The following is a 20,166-nucleotide window of genomic DNA, read 5'->3' as shown; positions in this document are numbered from 1 at the left end:
CCTTCTTTTTTGTATTTTGTCCTTTTCTTGGGATATTCTTCAATGTCTTAAACAAGATGTCTTTGCATTTCCTTTTGGTATTAAACAGTGGTGGCCTCATGTTAAAAATCTGACCTTATAACAAATCAATTGATCATTAACTGAGGTGACCAGACTACATTGGCAGTAAAGACCAGATTAGTTAATTCATCCTCATCAGTGCACTGGGCAGGAGTTCCTAACTATAGCAAAGTCTAGTCACACTGCTTCCTGGGACAAAGAATTAGTTAGTCCAAATATGTTGTTTCCTTAAAATACACATTTGCCTCTGATGAGCCTCTGGCTACACTCTTTATAACTAGTGGGCAGATGCCAGGACCCTGCAGGTGGATTCTACTGGGGAGAGGCAAAGTTTTACCATCAGTATGAGTGGCAGTGGAAGCACAGGTCCCAGTCCAGAGAACTAAGTTTAAGGCTCCAGAACCAGAAAGAAAATAACTGACATTCATTGTAGCCTATGGGAATCTGTGATTTTAGCATAAAAAATTAAGTTACAGAATGCACCAGAATAACTTGGCCATTTGAACATTTATATTGATATGGGCTTTATTTATATTACACACTTGGTATATTTTGAAGGAAAGCAAGCGTAGTTATGAAACACAAGCGGCAGCAAGACTTATTGTTGACATGAATTTATGACTGAATGGCTCCAAATTGTTTGCAAAATTAGATTCCCAGGAATAAACGTCAATATCCACCAATATGTAGTAACTTAGTAAATGTATGATAAAACTAGACCCTGATAGTTTTTGAAAAATTCTCATGCGAAAATAAAAAAGGCTATTAAATTCTGCAAATAATTCCATTACACACAGATATGTCACTCAGAGGCTAGATAAATATAAATTTACTTAGTGTTATGGAGGGCACTTGGTAAGGAAGCAGGCACGTAATACAATTATAAAACACAAAGCTCCTTGTCCAAGAGTTTTCTTTTATAGACAAATGGGCTTTAAAAATATCTTGTGGTGGCTCACGCCATTGTAATTCCAGTACTTTGGGAGGTGGAGGCGGGAGGATCATCTGAGGTTGGGAGTTCGAGATCAGCCTGACCAACATGGAGAAACCCTGTCTCTACTAAAAATACAAAAACTAGCCAGGCATGGTAGTGGGCACCTGTAATTCCAGCTACTCAGGAGGTTGAGGCAGGAGAATCACTTGAACCCTGGAGGCGGAGGTTGCGGTGAGCCAAGATCATTCCATTGCACTCCAGCCTGGGCAACAAGAGCGAAACTCTGTCTCAAAAAAAAAAAATCTATCTCTCTCTCTCTATATATATATGTATGTACATATATGTGTGTGTATGTGTGTGTGTGTGTATATATATATTTTGCCAACAACTTGCATTTGAATTCCTGAAGTCACAATGGAAGACTGACTTGACTACTTTTTGTAATGTGCATAAATTTAGCTTTTACAGAAATTATCTTTTCTTCTTACTCAGTAGTTGCCTTTCTCTATTTTAAGTGATTTTTATTGTACTGCTCTTTACTTTTAATGCTAGCTTTTAAAAATTTACATTCTTATTTTTTCTTCTTTCTTGAGGTGCAATACTGACAATTCTTATCTGAGAGGATGATCCAAACATTGGGGAAAATAAAGATCCATAGTAGAAATTCACTTAAACTGTGACAATCATGTAATCAGTGTAGGCAACATTTGGCATAGTAAAAGAACATTGTGCATTTGATAATTATAATTTTAAAAACTTCAACGCTGTTAACATTTTAACACTTTATTTCAGTTATTTAGTTCATTTTAAGGTATTCGGTCATCCAAAAGAACTACATACATGTGATATTTGACTTATTATTCTTAATTAAACCATCAAAGTAATTTTTTTTACATCTTAAATGTCAATGTTGAACCTCCATTGAGAGAAAAATCAAGGCACATATTGTCATCATTTTATTTAGTATGATGCTTTTGATCTTTTGCAGGAAGTTCTTTTTTCTTTCATCTGAAAGCCTTAACATTTTACACAGAAGGGATACTGCACAAATGCTGTGTGGACTTACCAGCTTTCTGATGAATGAGGATGTTAATTACATATTGAAAGTGGTAATGGTTTTGAAATGAAAAAGAGAGCATTATTGGAAGAATGAAAAATACATCTCAGAAAGAAACCTATAGTTCAACAAATTAAAAGAAAGAAAGAAAAAAAGCAAAAGTAGGTGTCAGGGCTGGACCAGCTTTGTTGTTGTTATTGTTCTTTAGCAAACAAAATATTGAAAAAACACAAAGCAAACAAATACCAGGGGAAAGAAATTAAATGTGCTTGAAAGATAGGGAAGAAAGATACTGAGTGTCTAAGGAGCTATTACTGCTGTTCAAAAGTTTGCAAATTTAATATTCTGATTTTTCTCCTAATAAAATAAAATTAAGAAAGACATTAGTGTATTTTGTCAACACTAGTTCAAGAGAGAGTCAGTTTTCTTTCCTTATGGAGAAGTTTCTGATGTACTCTTCCTGATGGAAACTATAGAAAAATATCATGTCCTTCTATTTTAACATGTTTTATCAAAATCAAAATAGTTACCAAAATCTCAAAGCATTTTGTTTCTTAGTATCAAAATCCATGGAAAAGGGGAGAAATCAACATTAAGGGATAATTTGAACCTATATATAATGTTTCCTTAACAATTAAATGTTATTACCATGCAATAGTGCAATCAATTCTAGGAAAACACCTCCAGGAAATATATTAACCTCTGAACTAATGTTAAAGAAGCTCCCATGAGAGTATGTTTTCACAAATGAGCTTTCTGTTGACCTTTTTGTAAAACTTCATATAACGTATTTCAGTTAAACCTATGATGCCTTTAGTGTTATCTCTTTCCTAGAAATGAGATGTTTGGTTATTTTATGTCTGTGTGTGTGTATGTGTGGCTGTGATAGCACTGGTATTTATAGTTTCCTGCTAAATTACGTATTTCTGAACCTTGGTAAACTGAACAGATTGAACGTTTGGGTCCCATTTATTGGCCATACGCTTAGTGAAGACACTTGTTTTCATCCTTTTATTACTGCTGTCATGTCTAGAAACATGAGTTTCAAAGAATGGCAATGTGCTTGTTTTCTGATTAATACAATTATGAAAGTTTCAAATTTGTAAAACATTTACATTTTTAAACATATTATTTTCTTTACTTATTAAAGGACCAAATTGGCTTCCAAGTCAATACTAAATAAGTATTTTCAAAAAGCAGAAATAAAATATCCACCTTTTAAAAGCAAATGTCATTGTATTTAGCTCTATTATTGGTACTTTAAAAAAATTTTAACCTGGGAATATTTTAACTCTCAGCATTGAGATGTATAAGGAAAAGCTCTCTGTGATATTTACACAGGTCCATTTACATTTTTAATGTTGACTTTGGAGTTGGCACACTGGAAAAGAATTAGAGGTAAGATGACTTGATAAAGAAGCTTTTTTGCTGCTTACAGAACTAAATCCCTTCATATTGAGCCTAGAGTTGGTCCTTCTTATCACAAATGCTATGCAGTGGCTTGGCAGCAGGATGCTAGCTGACCTTTATGCAAATTGTTCAAACACTGTGGATTCTTCTGAGAGGGTGGAATTCAGAAGGTGCTAATGCTGCTAACGAGCTGGAAGAAGAGTTTATGTGCTAAGTGTTATTCTTGGAATAAAGTGGGCCTATCTTTTACTAAGAGGAAAAGAATGTGCAGTCCCACCCACAGCTCTACAAGGCACTCCCCCAGTGAGGTTTTGCGAAGGTCAATTTTACTAAGTTACTGGTTTGAATCATTTTGTATAAATCTGTCATCAGAATGATCCATACCCAGTAGGGCTCTTTTAGACAAACAAGAGTGGAGTCTGCTGTTGTTATTCTAGAAAGATTTTTAAATTATGGTTCACAGATAATGACTGTTGTGTTTTTGGTTCAGGAGAGAATCTAATGCATATCCTGACACTTTAGTCCAAATAAAGAGCTGCATTCAGTTATAACCTTCCCAAGGACAGCAAGTGGAGCTTGGTTTCTATGCAATCCCTCAGAATAGCCAATCCTAGGTGAGCACCAGTAAATGTTAACTAAGGGCAAAAATGGGAATAAATAAGATCATCATTAAAATACATATTTCAGTGCTTCATGATTCACATGCTTAGAAGAGCCACTTGAATAATATTTATTTTTGGTTTTATTTTTACTATATAATATCAACAAGACCTTGATTGGAGTCAGAAGCCACTGAGTATCTAAGGAGCTATTATTGCTATATCCTGTTCTCTATGGGAAGTTATTTTATGTATTTGTTCTGATAGTACCAGAATAGTTCTCTAAAAACAAAATGCTAAACATAAGGGTCTATTTTATTTAACAAAAAATTTACCATATTCTTCCCACTAACAAGAGTTTCAAAAAATAATTAATGTATATTAAATTACATACTTAGTAAATAGATATTAAGAAAAATAATGCAAAATCCCAAGTACTTTATATTTTAAAAAGCTATATCTGCCTATTTCCCACAGATTCTCTTTTTTCAAGGGAATAAAGGGAAGGAAAAAGGGAGAGAGGAGAGTAAGAGAATAGAGGACAGAGAAGGATAAATATTTGGTAGGATAGGATAGAAATGTTCTGCATTTTATAAGCTCTCCAATTTATATAAAGTAGCTTCATTAGAATATGCATTGTAGAGTGAAATTTGGTATAAAACCAGCTTGACCCAAAGCCTGAAAACAGACTTCGTACAGTAATGCTTCACCGATTGCTATATTCATTGACAGACTCCAAATTGCATGATAGGCTCGGAAGCTGTTAACTACTAAAATATCAGCAAGTTGATTGAGTATACTTGCTCTAACAGTCTACATCAATTGAACCCAATGGTAAGTAGGGAAAAGTCTACGCACTATTTGAAGTTCCCTAATTCATGTTCATTCCCATACAAATTATGAGGTAGCCAAAGAAGTAGCTAAGCATCTGCCAGAAGGTAAAGCAAAGGAAAGGGGAATGATTAAGAAATTACCACTATTTATCTTGCTAAATAAACTCCTGGGCTACACAGTACTTTCTGTTCATATAAGCCGTTAGTGGGACTTTTGAGCTGTAGATGATATTTTTGTAAATTCTCCAATGAAAGGATACTACAGTCTATTTTTAAAAAACTGAACATGAAGTGCAGAGCTGCCTAAGAGAAGAAAGGCAACTATTGGACATATGACCTCTCTCTCAGTATCAGTGTTGCTTCCTTATCTTGATCAAGAAATGGTTGATACTTACAGACACCAAATTAAGATGTGCACATCTGTTCTGAGAAGTTTGCCTTTTAAAATTCTGCAGTGACCAAGATGTCCAATGTGGCCAGCTTATGGCTAGAAGTCAAAGGGGATTCTAGCCAGCATCTGAAGGATAATCTGTAGGCATTATTCTTTTTCTCCTGACCTTATTTTTCTTTGAAACATGTTTACTAGCTTTTGGAAAGCTGAAGTTTTCCCCTTCTAAGCGAAATTTCTGCTATTTGGTAACAAACACATTGATGCAGAAAGGCAATGGGAGGCTTGCCAAGGAAGCTCACTCAAGTTCCTTGGCTTTGGGAGGTGAATGGTAAGCACTGTTACAAATTATATTTTTAAATATTGAGAGGGACCACATTGTACCAGTTCACTGAACTGGGGATGCCAGAGCGATGTCTTCTTGAACCAAATAAAAATATGGTCAATGATTCTGGCCACCTCCAAGACCATTTCTGGAATGATAGTTGCAGAGAGTCCCATCGTTTGGACCAGATGCTGGATAGAAAGCTAATAAAATGTCCTGTAGCCAATTTAAGTTCTAAATGTTATTGTGTGATTACGCTACTCCGAGGGATAACCTCATCTGTCAAAATGTTCCTTTATTCTATAAAGTATGTATAAGAGGCACTCTGATTATACACATTATATTAATAAATACCACTTTCTCCCTTCACCATCTGTAACAATGTTTCTTATTATCATTTATGGGTTCAATACTGCAAACATCTAGGCTCAGTTCTTAGAGAACATTGTCTTGTAGTGACTCTAACTCTATGGCATTTATTCATCACCAAAATCTCACCAACCCTCTAATTTCCCACAAATGTTGAGCACCAATAAGGTATATTACCATGCAAGAGCTCTACCATTACTCACTATATGCCAAAACAGAGCAGCATCTCTTAAAAATCTCTTTCAGAATTAACATATTCTTTGGTTTAATTTAAAATTAAATATGCAAACAAAACAAGGAGAGTCTGATGAGAATGAGAAGCAATTCAAATTCAAGTGAGTGAACTTCCTTCCCTCTATCTTTCCTTCCACTGTCTCCCAAGTAGTAGATCAGTTGATTTGTGGGTTGAGCCACCCTGGTCATAATTCTATGCTGTCTTCACCTATTTGAAAACTTGTCATAATAAACAGTGTGTTCACCAGTTTTCCAGACTAGCAACAAAAACCTTTCTAGTAATAATCTGTTATACAATTAATAAACAATGTGATAATTGCACCTTCAACATTCACACTAACATAGCAACAGTAGATTCCTCTTACACTTGTAAGAGAGTCTGTTAGCACCTTTTAATAGATTTATCTCCACTGCATAGAGAATATGTCTAAAATGAGGAGTACATTCCTCACATCATGGCTCTGTGTACATATGAGTACGTTGTTGCTGCCTTTGGGGCAAGAGGAAAGATGCCTTAATTTGTCCTTTGATGCAAAAAAGAGTATGGAGAATTCAAATCAAACTCCATTAGTACAGTCATATTCTCTAAGCAGCTTCATCACAGCCATCCTCCATTCTCTATGGTTTACCAGAAGTATTTAAGGTTCCATTGTGATCTTTTCCGAGGCACTTACGGAAAAGGTTGAATTCTACCTGCAGTCATCAAACTTCTGAGCTGTCATTGTGATGGCTCTGTGGGGGCACCATGGGCTCACTGCTGCTGGAGCCTTTCGGGGCATCCTTCCCCCTGAAACTTTCCTTGCCCCTGCACATCAGCACTGCAATGACAGTGAGGCAGATGGTGAGTAACCCTACCGTGGTGCCTCCCACCACAGTGACCAGGCTGACTGCAGAGCTGGGGCTGTTGAGCTCCCAGGGGAGGATGCCATCTGGAGGTGCTCTCCCATGGGGGATCTGCCTCTTGGTGCGGTCCAGGGCAATGTGCTGGATGTTTGTTCCTCGACTGTTTTCAGCACCAATCTCCCATGCCAGTGAGGGTGTGCTCCTGATCTCTCTCTTCTTCCGGCTCTTGGTGGTGGATTGGGGCTTTCCTTGACTCACCAGAGAATGGTACTCCACACTTCTTTTGCCAATACCTCGATTGGCATTGTCTTTCGATCTCACTGTATAGATCGTATGTATATACCATTCTCGGCCTAGAGCGACCTAGAAAGCACAACTCTATTTATTAGGAAATACTAGATACCATGTCAATCTAATCCACGACTCTTTGCAAGAGAAATTAATGGCAGAGATATTAATAAATGATTTTAGTCTGCAGAATTAACTTACTTAATATTTTTGAATGAGTACTAGGTGCAAGGCTCTGTGCAAAGCACTCTGTGATATATCCTGTGCAACTCTTAAGGGAGTGAATATGTGATACTTGTTGTCATAGAATGAGAGAGTTCTAAAGAACTATTAATAGATTATACAGTCTAGCTTATTCACTAAAAAAATGAGTAAATTAGAATATGCAGCAGTTAAGTGAGTTGCCCAATGTTACTCAACCAGTTAGTGGCAGAGGCAGGACTACAGCTCAAATCTTCTGAACCCCAGGACTCTTTTCACTGTGTCTTGCTGCTTATTGCATATAAGACCATAGGGGGAAAAAATCAATTTTCAAGCTTTTCTGGGGCTTTGGAAAAGGATGAATTTTCTGATGAGTCTTTGAAGCATGCAAGATTTAGGAAGGTCAGATGCTTTGAGATTTAATGGCAAAAATAAAAATAAAACATATCATACTTCAACTTCTTGTTTGAAAAGATTGAGAATAACAAACATGCTTTCTTAAGATCCTTCCTTAGGTTGAATGAAAATAACACATTTCTCCAGGCCATCCTGTCGGGTTAATTTTCAGTAAATATCCTAAAAGCCGCACTTGCTTCGGCAGAGATTTGCAGTGTAAGCACCTCTTGAAATTTGTGGCATTTGCTCAGTGTTGTGGCAGCTGCCTGTGTTTCCCTCCACCTTTGATCCCTGAGTCAGGAATTTGTATCTTGGTTTCTGAAATCTTTGAGAGTGGAGCTGTGCACAATTGCTTTCCTGAGTTCAGCAGTTCACACAAGATCACTCTAATTAAGATATTGGTGAAAAGTCAGCAGGAAGGAAGTTTTGAATAAGAAAAGCAGATTACTCAACTGTCAGACACAGATTTATATTCTGGGCTAAATAAGACTCTTCATTACACATAGTCTTAAAATAATATTAATACATTAATAAAAGTGATAAGAGCTATGAAAGCCAGATATATTGCTAACAAAAATAATAAACGCTGGGTTTATGGAGTGCTCACCATATGCCCAGCATAGGGTTATGTAGTTTATTTGCCATATCTTATTCAATGTTCCCATTAACTGTATGCAATATTACTATTACTGCTATTTACATATGAGACATCTGAGGCATATAAATGTTCCATAACTTGCATGTGGGTACACAACTACTACAAATGAGCTTGTTTTTGGCCTACCTGAAAGAGTGGTGTTGAGTCGACTTTAAATCCATCAGATCCAGGCTGATTCACTAAGAGAATGGCTTCAGGGTCATCCACTGCTAGTTTGGCATTAAATAGGACATTTCCAAAACTGGTCGCTTGTGTCTCTGGCTGAGCTTTGTCCTTTAAGCAGTAAGGAAAGTGGTGATTGCTGTAGATAATGCCACGGCTTTTGCCAGGACAGCATGTTTCTCTATTTGTTTTGTGCAAGTACAAATTACTATAAAATGTCACCATTTGGTTTACTAAAAATGATCATTTTGTTGGTTTTTCTATTTTTTTTAAGAGACGGGGACCTTCTCTGTCACCCAGGCTAGAGTGCAGTAGCATGATCATAGATTGAACTTCCTGACTTAAGCAATCTTCCCACCTCAGCCTCCCAAGTAGCTGGGACTCCAGGCATGTGCCACGATGCTCGGCTAATTTTTTAAAATTTTTTGTAGAGATGGGGTCTCACTATGTTGCCCAGGCTGGTCTTGAAATCCTGGCTTCAAGTGATCCTTCTACCTTGGCCTCCCAAAGTGCTGGGACTATAGTGTGGCCACTGTGCCCAGCCTTGTTTTTAAATATAAGACAAGGAGGCTGAACTTTGAAAAATCTATCTAGCTCATTTTTTGGGTCAAAGCACTTACCACAATTTTAAATCTATATAAGAGTGAAGGAGAGTCGGCTAAGCAGCCATATTCTGCATTCATTGGACTATACTTGGGAACATAGCCATCAGCTCCAGTGCATAGAAACACCTTCTCAATGCTGCAGTAAAAGGAGTCACCCAGATTCTGGACAGGATCCACCATGACACGACCATAAATTATATCACCTGAAATAGAGATGTGGAAATGTTATTTCTGTTATATGATAAGGTATATCAACGTGACACTGTAAACAGGTTATGACAATGAGGACACAGAGATTATTTCCTTGCCACCCTCATCTACTATCAAATGTTGAAGGCCTGTTTGCATGAGCTTCAAGATCTGGTACATTCTCAGGCCTCAGGTAAGACCACTTTGCAGACTGACCAGAAGTGACTAAAGATTTATTGAGTCTCAGATGCTCAGCCACTAGTGTGAATAATTTCAAAGATCTGGCCTATAATTTGGCATTAATAATATCCCATTGTGGTCCAAGTCCAGTTTACAAAAATAAGTTGATAAGATATATACTGATACAATATAGAATAACACTAAGAAAGAAAGTATCAATACAAAGCCTAATTAACGTTATTTGTTTCTGAAAGAGGGTTTAATGAAACCCCCTGGTGTTCAATTCTTTATTTCATAACTATTATTGAACCCCTACCATGAGTGCCAGGTATTTCTGCTAGGTATGTGTGCTGGGTGCTGAATATACACCATTGAGTAAGGCAGGCACAATCTTTGCCTGAGAGGCATTTACAGTCTCATGTAGCTGCAGCATTTAAGTTTACACAGATTGAAAAAAAACATTCGAGAAAATCATCTAGACTTGTTCCAAAAGTCACTTAGGTAAGACAGCTAGAGATTAGCTTCCTCAGAAAAAAAAGATACCCAGTTACATATACCCAATCGCAACGACTTCCCACACCAGCCAGAGTGGGTAAAGACCCAGTTACATTCTCAAAACCATAAAAAAAGCTATAATTTGCCCCCTCAAACACAATCCCCAAAAAGCAAAGCACAAAAGATATACATGACAAACAGAGCATCCCTCTCATTTGTAAAGTGATACCTTCTGCAAAAGCAACATCACTCTCTTGCCCGAATCCCATGGATCCATCAGACAACCAGAGACTCTTCTTAGAGAGCAGGTACATTTGGGTGTTCAAGCTAAACTCAGCAGCCACTGGATCACTGACCTAAAACCAAAGGTAAAAGTTCTTTTATGCATCAGTGGTTCTGATGGTGCACAAACATACTGTTCACAGATACATACATTCACCGTACACTGTAGAACACTAAACACTGCATCGCAATTTTCACACCCTACCAAGCTAACTCAGAGAGTTGTAACATTGCTTTTGTCCTTGAGAAGGCAAAACTGGTGGGATCAAGTCATTTTTTGAATGGGACTAAACAGCATTGCTTGAGCTCATTTCCACTGGTTTATTGGGGTATATAAAGGACTTGTAAATATCATTGTCAGTAGAAGGCCAACAGTAAAAATTCTTGAAAAAAAGATGCCATCACATTTTTTATAATACATAATGGCAATTAGGTACTTTGAGGTGGTTTGAGCTACAGGATTTCATTCTCTTTAGAGAAGAACAAGAAAAGAAATGCAGAAGTGCGGGGAAAATTCTCAAATCTCCAAGACAGCAAACTTCAGGAGGACACAAGATAAGATCAGATAAGAAAAAAATAACCATTGCATACATTTAAACTCTGAATTTTACATCCTGTACTAACAACAGATAAAGGGCAAATCTCTCCTCATTCTTTTATCCCTAGCTTCCTTAACTGTCTGATTTCTTTTCTTTTCAGCATGCAAGAATTAAAGTCATTCACGTGTGGATTTTTTTTTTTTTTACTAATAAATGAAAAACAAAGTGGGATTCTGCAAGTCATAAGATAGTAATTCTATAAGCCACACCTGTTGGAATCGGATGTCAAGGTCAAAGGTGACAGGTTCTCTGGGGTTGCAGGTGACTGGCAGGCGGTATTCCTGATGTGATGGGGCAGTGCATGGCACCAGCTTCACAGTATAGGTCCCTGAGTAGTCACGTACCTTTGAGGAGAAGATATTGATATATTACATTTAAAAATCTGAGGTGTAATCAGATGGCAGCAGCAGAAGAAAATTAATTAAGAGTCTTAGTCACTTACGGCAAAGTCAGAGACAAAGCTCCACTGCTGTACTGGCTGGTTATAGGTTGGTTCACTCCTTATGAGGCGGAGGGAAAATGTCAGGCCTGGATGATCAGCTGACATGATCACTGAGCTTGTAAAGGATGCTAGGAAAGTGCCAGTAATTATAATAATGATATAGTGGTTCAATTAAAAGAGTGCATAACAGTTTAGAGTTTTCAAAATAAATGATCATACATTATTTGCTTCTGTTTTTATAAGAAGGCTGCAAAGCAGTCATGGTTAGTATAATTATCCTCCTCTGGCAGATGAAGAAACTGGGCTGTGAGTGACTGTGTGACTTTCCAAAGATCACACAGCTAGGATGTGACTTTCTGATTCCTACTTCAGTACTGTTTCTGCTCTATAGTTTTGTCAAAAGATAATTGTACAGAAATGCTCAAATTGTTCAGAGCTACTTTCTGGGGAGTCACAGCAGCACAATAAAGGGTGATGTGAATGCATTTATTGTGCACTGAAGTTACGAGCTGAACTTAAAATAGTCTATTAGTATCCACACAGCTGGGCAAACCCAATTTATGAATGGAGTCTGATTTTAGTTAGATTGCCTGCAATCATGGCTACACAAAGATTCAGTTTATTAGAAAGGTAGGCATGTAGAAGAAAACTGTATAGACCAGAAAATCCTCATTTTCCAGAACTGTCAAATACAATAAAGCAAAATGATTTTTTTGGGTTCTTTCTTTCTTGTAGCTCAGTTCCATAAAAATACAATGAAGCCTCTTTCTCTTCCTAATTATTCAGCCCTATTCTCTTTTGTTAGAGTTCAAGTCCAGAAAAAGAAAAGCTATAAAGATGTTGAGTGAACTATTTTCCCTTTCCCAATCTAATATAAGCTGGCAGAAAAATGGCTTATTTTTTATTTGACTCTCCATGTTACTAAACTGGTAATATGGAGAGTCAAATAAAAAATAAGCTCTTTCTAGTGAAATGTCCTTGTTAAAAAAAAACAAAAAACAAATGAAGTTAGACGTGGGATTTTATCGACTGCTGCCTTGTTGATATTCAAAGCACAGCGAATCACAGTTAGTAAAATTGCATAGCCAATACTTATTAAACATAATTAACATGTCCAAAACTTAAATATGAAAGTGAAGTACCTCCTCTGACCCTATTAAAAGGGTTTCTCACAGTACCTAGCAAAAAGCTGTGAAAAGAGAAGTGCTTGCTGAATGAATCATCTGCAATTCGATTTGTACAATGGAAGCAAAGCAGAGAAAGAAATGATTATTCCTATGCTCTTTAAGGAAAACTTTACTTAAAATGAACTCAATAGGGTTTCCTTTTAATTTTACTCTAATTATTTTGCATTTTCTCTGAAAGTCTGCATAATGATAATTTTGTGGATTATGAGGTGAAGCTGAACAATTATCAAGCTCTCATGGAGATAATCCCACATGTACAATTCATTTGAGATTAAGGGCTTCAGTGGTAACAGAGAAGCACGCTGAAATGTGTGAAGATGGAAAATCTACCTCCTTTTTGTGTGAGGAGTGGTTGTTAAAAGATAACGGGGCTTACCGGGATGTGACAGCACAAATAAGCCATGGAACTGAGCCTCTGTCTTGAAGTGCACGGCCAAGCGCCCCTCATCACCGATGCGCATGCTGGTTGGATAGAGAGAACCTATAATGGGGAGAGTACCAAGAATGAAAATATATGTAGCCAGAGACCCCTTATGTACAGATTCCTTCCAAAAATTAATTCAGGTTTGACTTGTCTTTAAACATTCTGGGCAAAGGGTATTATCAGAAGAATTCTGAATAACAGAGGCAGAAGTATCTTCATTTTCTTTTCTAAGCAGAAAAGGGAGCCAAAATGAATTATTAAGTAACATGAGTGAAGTCACTATGAAATACACAGATTACTTACAATAGACCAAGTTTTTTTAAAATCTGAGTTTATAAAAATGAAGCTGTAAATTGAGAGGCATGACAAAATTGTCAAAATGATGGAGATTCGGACATGTAAATAGAAATAGGTTTGAGTTATCCAGAATTATTCCTAATTTTATAGACTTAAAGAAACCTCTGAAGCTTTCCCAAGAAATTTAGCAGTTTGATAAAATTTGGCTCCAGAAATCAGATGGAAACAAGAGATCCTATGTGGAGGTTGGGAACCACAGAAAAATCCTCATTAAGATTAACTTAAATATACATCTTCTAAAACAAGACACGGACTTAAAACATTTGAAATAATTTGGAATCATAACTCAGGGTTATCATATTACCTGTCACATAGCTCTAAAATAGAAACTATTCAAAATGAAACATGGAGAAAAAAAGACAACAACAAAATGAACAGAGCATAAATAGGTTTTAATCCACTTAAGAGAGTAGATTTACATTTGAGGTGCACTATTAACTCTGTTTTCCTGCTGGCTAGTAAAATGCAGTACTGGCATGACACTATGGATGTTTGTGGAATCGGAACAGTAATACATGTCTGAAAAAGAAAAAGCACTCGTCCTACTAATGGATTAGATTGATGCTTGTGGACTTTGAACTATGAGTCTAACATGGAGATTGAAACCAAGTTTTGCAAATGCTCGCGAACTCGAACTAGTGGCATTCACAATCCGAGTTCGCAGACATTCAACTAAAGTACCCCAGAGTAATAGAATTTTACATCAGAAAGAGATATTAGAAGTTGTGTCTATCATTCAGAAAAAGTTAAGTCCCAGAAAGGTTAAGCAATATGCTTGAGATCTCACAGCTAGTTAGTTGTAGAGTCATGACTAGAATTCAGGCCATAATTTGTATTTAATTTAAATGCACCTCTTTTTTTCAGAAATAAAAATGTGTAACTTTTTCCCTTGGTCATTTCTTGCTTTCGTTGGAGCTTCCTCTATCCATTTTCTAGAATTCAGAAAAATATATATGTTGTGTTATGTAACACATAAATAATTAATCACCTAAAATAGATCGCAAGGATAAAATATCCATGAAATATATAAAGTCATATTTAATAATCACATATTGCACAAAATTTAAAGCCCTAATATGGTTTAAAGAGTTTTTTGATGAAAAAGGTGAAATTATCTTATTATAGATAGAAAATGAAAATATACTGAAATTTGCTAGTACTACTTTTAGCAATGGCAAAAAAAAATCGTCTTAAATAGTTTAAATAGGTTACAAAACTATAGAATTTTCCAAGTCTTCTGAACTCACCTTGAAGTTCAGCCTCTGGGGGGCTGCCAATTCCATCATTCCACAAGATGGCGGTGTCGTACACAAAAGTTAGACGAAGCTCTGACTTCAAGTCAAAATGCTGCCAGCCTCCTACCCCCACGGGGGAATGGAACACGTAGGAAACATACAGAGGGACTCGAAGGGTCACATAGGACTGCACTAGGTTTAGGACCTAAAACAACAAAATTACATCAATCAACATGACTCAGTGTTAACTAAGTGGGCCTAATTTTGTACAAGCCATTTTCTCTTTTCGCTTAACTGAAGATTTTGAGTAATCATTGAGAAGAGGAAATGACAGCATTTTATAACACTATTTTCCCCTCACTTAATTTTGGATCGATTAAATAGTTGTTACTAATTACCTTCATTGGCAACAAAGGATATGTACCAGAAATCCTTAAGACAGTGCATTATTTTGAGCATACTATACTTACAAAATCCTCTTTAGAGCAGTTTTATGAAGATAGTTTACATACCATGTAATTCACCTATTTAAAGTAAACAGTTCAATGGTTCTTAGTATATTTAAGGAGCTGTGCAACCAACACAATCAATTTTAGAAGATTTTCATCACCTCCAAAAGGAAGCCTGTACTTATTAGCAGTCACCCCCAATCCCTCCTCCCCGTCAGTCCCTGGAAACCACTAGGTCTTTATGTATTTGTCTATCCTGGACATTTCATATAAATGGAATCATACAAAATGTGTTTTTTTGTGATAGATTTCTTTCATTTAGCATAATGTTTTCAAGGTGCATCCATGTTTGAGCACGTTTCAATACTTAATTCCCCTGTTAATGAATTGCAGCCCATTGTATGCACATATTACATTTCATTTATCTATTTATCACTTCATGGCCATTTGGGTTGTTTCCAGTTTTTGGCTATTATAAAAAATGCTGCTATGAGCTACTTTTTTATTAAGGGAATATGAAACATAGATCTGGAAGCAAATATATTTACTAATAACATATAACATTTATAATATCTCAAGAATAATTAGTTGAAATGAAGTGTCTTGCCTTGAATTTTATACTTTCCTCCTTCTGGTGTTTAGCAGATGGGTTGGGAATAGTGGAGGATAAACTAATATTTATATATTGAGTACTTACCATATTTCAGAAACTGTACTAGTTTCTGAATAAACACTATTTAATATTTTCACTCTCCACCATAATTATTTTGCATGTATGGATGGATAGTTGGATGGTCAATGGATGACGGATAGAAAGAGACAAAGATAAAATTAAGACTCAAAGGAAAAAGGTAAATGTCCCACAGTATTCTCTAAACCTCCTGAATGGCTCGGACAAGATCAGAACTCAGCTTTTGGCCCATGTTTTTTTTCTATTCTGTCTTACTTCATCGTATTCCAAACAAAGATGAAGGCAGTCCTAAGGTCATCTAACAAAGGCTATCATATTTCATTCTCAAAATAGCTCTGCACAATAGTAGGACAAATACAACTAGCCTCTTCTACACAAGAGGAAAGGACTTAGGTCAGATCACACTCCATAGAAGTTTGAGTCAGGCTGTCTGATTATGGTCTAGTTCTCCTTCCACACAGCTCACAACAAGAATCACAGGCATGAGTTAGCAAATAATTTAAATCATGAGAACTATAATTTAGAACATTCTTATGAAGTTAAAAGTAAACTGCTCATGTCACAAAAATGATGACCTGAATCCCTAATAAAAATATATAGAAAAGAACCATCAACCAAACCAGTTATTTCATTCTTAGCTGTATAGTATAGTAGTTAGCATTCCCTCTTACCTGCTAGCCTGGCCAGCAGGAGAGGTGCTTTGCATTAAAAGTCCTTTGAGACAGTAGTTTCTATGGGCGGCTGTTATTACCTCATTGAGCAATTGATTTTGAAGTGCAGGGAAATGGACGGTGACTAAGTCAACCCATATGCCACTAGTCCTTAAGATTAATATTTTACCTTACAATTTTAATAAACCATGATTTTAAAAAATAATTAGGTTTTAGGAATAGATTTCCAATTAAGCTTTATAGGTGCTAAGAATAATTTTTTCCAATGTTATATTCTATCCATCAAATGTTACTGAGTATGCTATTTTGGAGGGAATTACTAATACTCACTTCCTATGAATAAGTTACTTGGAGTACAGCTCCCCAACTAATTCTGATTTGATTTTATTTGATGTTGTGGTAAACTAGAGCTTGATCATTTTTGGACACAGAATCAGCATTCCATTGCATTTTCTTAGTACCCATGGCTAGGTCTTCTTTCTGTCTACTTAGAATCTCTACCTGGAGGAACTGGAGCCTAAATGAAACTATCTTGACCATCTAGATCACCTACCTTCTTCAAAAGTGAAGAGTGCAATGCAATCATTCTAACATTTAGATGTCAACTTAAAAAGCACTTAATTTTCTTTCAGCCTGTATCACAGGACTTTTCGAGGTATTTGTTTATACTGAAATAAATATCTGTCAAATCTTAAAGAAACCGAGACACAATGAGTGATTTCATATGTCCCTATTGCTGTTTGAAGTTTCTTCATCAAAGGCAAGCAATACTTTAAATTCCATATTTAAAAGGAAAGTGTAAAATGCAAATACCATGGAAAAAGTAACACACTGTCAAATTTATTCTGCTACACACTGGGGTAAGTATATATCCTGCAAAATAATTGAGAGTGGCTTACATATAAAAGAGTATCAGTGTACAAAGTATAAAACAATGGGATGGAAAAATGACCTCAAGTATATTCCAGCCTCAAAGTTTCATATATCTAAATCAAATACATAGTAAAAAAGAGGCATAATTATTCCCTAAAGCAACTAAGAAAAAAATTTGTTTACTTTTCCAAAATTATTCTATGTCTTCTGATAAGTACATTATAATTTCATGTTTTAAGTGAAAACTGTGATTGGGGTTGCATTTCTGTAGCTTATTCATGCACACTGAACGATGTTATCAGTCGCTGTTTACCTGTAAACAAATGGGAGAGTTAAGATTCTATGTCGCAAAACAGCTAGCCAGGACAATAAAAGATCAAATGATCTGCAGTCTTCAATTATTTTAAAAAATTGTTTTCAAGAGAAAAACTACCAAACTATCTGATAGTTCTAAGAACTTAATTTAACTTTAATAACCATTTTGCATCTAAAGTGTTTTTTATTGTGAACCCAAACAACTTTAAATTTTATTTACAAAATAGGTGTCACACACAAAGGTAGAGTGGAATCATTTATTTAATTCATCTCTATTTTGCTTTTCCTGCTATTTATCTGTGTTTATATTTTAGAAACTATTAAAATGATTTTAGAGTTAAATATCATTAGAGAAATTCCAAATTTGTTTTTCTTGGCAAGTAAAATTCTTAACTTTTATGAGTGATGATCTGACTCTTGTAACGACTTTGTTCCTCCGTAAGCTTCATGTCTGGTGTCCTCATGAGTACTTGGTATGTTCCCTGGCACAGAGTAGGTGTTCATGGAATATTTCTTTAATGAATGAATGTACAAATAAATGAGATGGCAAAATCAGATATAGTTTTAATAATAGCTGAAGCTAGATGTAGTCTAGCTGCATAAAAGTTAATCACACTTCATTGCTGTTAACAGATAACTATCCTGTTAACTAATAAGGTAAATAATCGAAATTGGGAGGTTGGAGAAGGCAGAAAACCCTTACAGAGTGTGTTGATTTTCATTTACAAAGAAAAATGCAGGGACTTGGCAATATTTTATGGTGGTAGCTTTAGCTACTAAGAACACATTTAAAAAATCAATTCTCTATCATGTTGTTCCTAGCAAAAGCAATTGCCAGTTGATAAAATGTGTTTGCACAGTGATTACCTTGAGCTGAGATGCCAAATTTGGGAAAGGACTAGAGGAGGGCAAGTAATGTCTGCTAGGCGCTTGGCCTGGGCTCTGTGGGATTGTTGAGGACAAACAGACCTGGGTCAGCACTGGCTTGCTGCAGGGGCTGTTTCCTGGGGTGGTCAATAAAACCACGAAGCCTCTGAAGCACATGGAGTCTGTGCTGATGGTTTGCTTTTTATTTTTCTCCATTTTCCCATCCTTAATGCTGAAATGCAAAAGTTTGGAAGGCTCTCATGACATTCCAAAATAGAGTATAAAGTAGAATTTACCAAGCATTTACTTTGCTTTCCTTCAGGTGCCATCTCATGAAATATGCTTGCATTCAACACTGATCTGCCTGTATTCAGATGAAGCTGTAGACCACTGTTGTTAGGACATGGATTTGCACCGTTTTACCAACAGTGGGTGTGGATGTTATCTGGCACGTATTTTCATGAATGCTGTCAGGCAGCATACTTGTACCAAGGACAAAGGAAAAAGTTCACCTGGCTTTCTTGCAATTGCATCCATGACCATATCCATTTCTCACATTCACTCACATTCAATTTAATGCCCAGATAAGCATTATGATGTGTTTAACAGCATAGGTGTACAAGCTACACGAACCTGGGCTAGTTATTTGAATTCTCTTTGCTTCAAAACTTGTACTTATCTCAAAGGGTTGTTGTGAGGCTAGAATGAGTGGAAATATACAAAGTATTTAGAGGAATGGCAGGCATGTAGTAAACAATCAATAAATGTAAGCTATTACAACTATCATTGTGCTTACTGTTATTGTTAGTACTATTATTAGATATTTTGTTCTCTTCACTATAAGCCAAAACTAATGGAGGAAAATTAGGGCAATATCTCAGAGGGTTGAATTTCTTCTACTTTAATTTTTATTTTCTTCTCCCTCACCTATGTGTAAATAATATGTGCGTGTATGTTGAGGTGAGGGTGTAGGAGACTATCAACAGCAAGGGGAAAAGTAGAAACTTAACCTCAGTGAAGAAGGTAGAAGAAAATGGGACCGCCATCTATGATGGTTAATTTTAGGTGTCAGCTTTACTAGACTAAGGGATACCCAGATAGTGGGTAAAGCATTATTTCTGGGTGTGTCCATGAGAGTGTTTCCAGAAAAGACTGGCATTTGAATCCGTGGACTGAGTAAGGAAGACCCATCCTCACTCAATGTAAGTGGGCACCACCAAATTGGCTGAGGCCTAGATAGACAAAAAAGGAAAAGAAAAGGACAAAAATAGTACTTATCTCAAAGAGTGGTTGTGAATTATCTCTCTCTCTTTCTCGGAGCTGGGACACTCTTCTTTTCCTGCCCTTGGATATCAGAACTCCCAGTTCTCTGGTGTTTAGACTTGGGGACTTAACCTGGGTTCTCAGGCCTTTGGCCTCTTGGAGTGGGCCACACCACTGGCTTCCCTGGTTCTCCATCTTGCAGATGGCCTGCCATGGAACTGTTCAGTCTCTACGATCTCGTGAGCTAATTCTCATAAGGAATCCCTTCTCATCTATCTATTCTAT

The 20,166-nt window shown here is 36.4% G+C and overlaps 1 protein-coding gene across 1 annotated transcript in view, besides 1 other annotated feature; it reads right to left on the bottom strand.

Annotated features, from left to right (window-relative positions):
- FREM2 (FRAS1 related extracellular matrix 2) overlaps positions 568–20,166 on the bottom strand; it is a 200,055-nt gene continuing 180,456 nt past the window's right edge. Inside the window, exons 17-24 of the mRNA NM_207361.6 lie at positions 14,765–14,957; positions 13,113–13,217; positions 11,550–11,677; positions 11,317–11,451; positions 10,456–10,582; positions 9,378–9,565; positions 8,722–8,868; positions 568–7,415 (exon numbers count right to left, since the gene is read on the bottom strand). Coding sequence (NP_997244.4) covers positions 6,912–7,415; positions 8,722–8,868; positions 9,378–9,565; positions 10,456–10,582; positions 11,317–11,451; positions 11,550–11,677; positions 13,113–13,217; positions 14,765–14,957 — 1,527 coding nt within the window. The 3' untranslated portion in view covers positions 568–6,911. The remainder of the gene's footprint in view (positions 7,416–8,721; positions 8,869–9,377; positions 9,566–10,455; positions 10,583–11,316; positions 11,452–11,549; positions 11,678–13,112; positions 13,218–14,764; positions 14,958–20,166) is intronic.
- Positions 14,793–14,882: a silencer, noted in NCBI's record as "silent region_5274". NCBI's record gives its function as "represses an Ori minimal core promoter by ATAC-STARR-seq in GM12878 lymphoblastoid cells {active_cell/tissue: GM12878}" and the evidence as "EXISTENCE:reporter gene assay evidence [ECO:0000049][PMID:35858748]".

The sequence above is a fragment of the Homo sapiens genome, chromosome 13 (assembly GCF_000001405.40).
Source record: "Homo sapiens chromosome 13, GRCh38.p14 Primary Assembly".
Lineage (NCBI taxonomy): Eukaryota > Metazoa > Chordata > Mammalia > Primates > Hominidae > Homo > Homo sapiens.
Note: the sequence above shows the minus strand (reverse complement) of the source record. Positions and strands in the feature narration are given on the sequence as shown.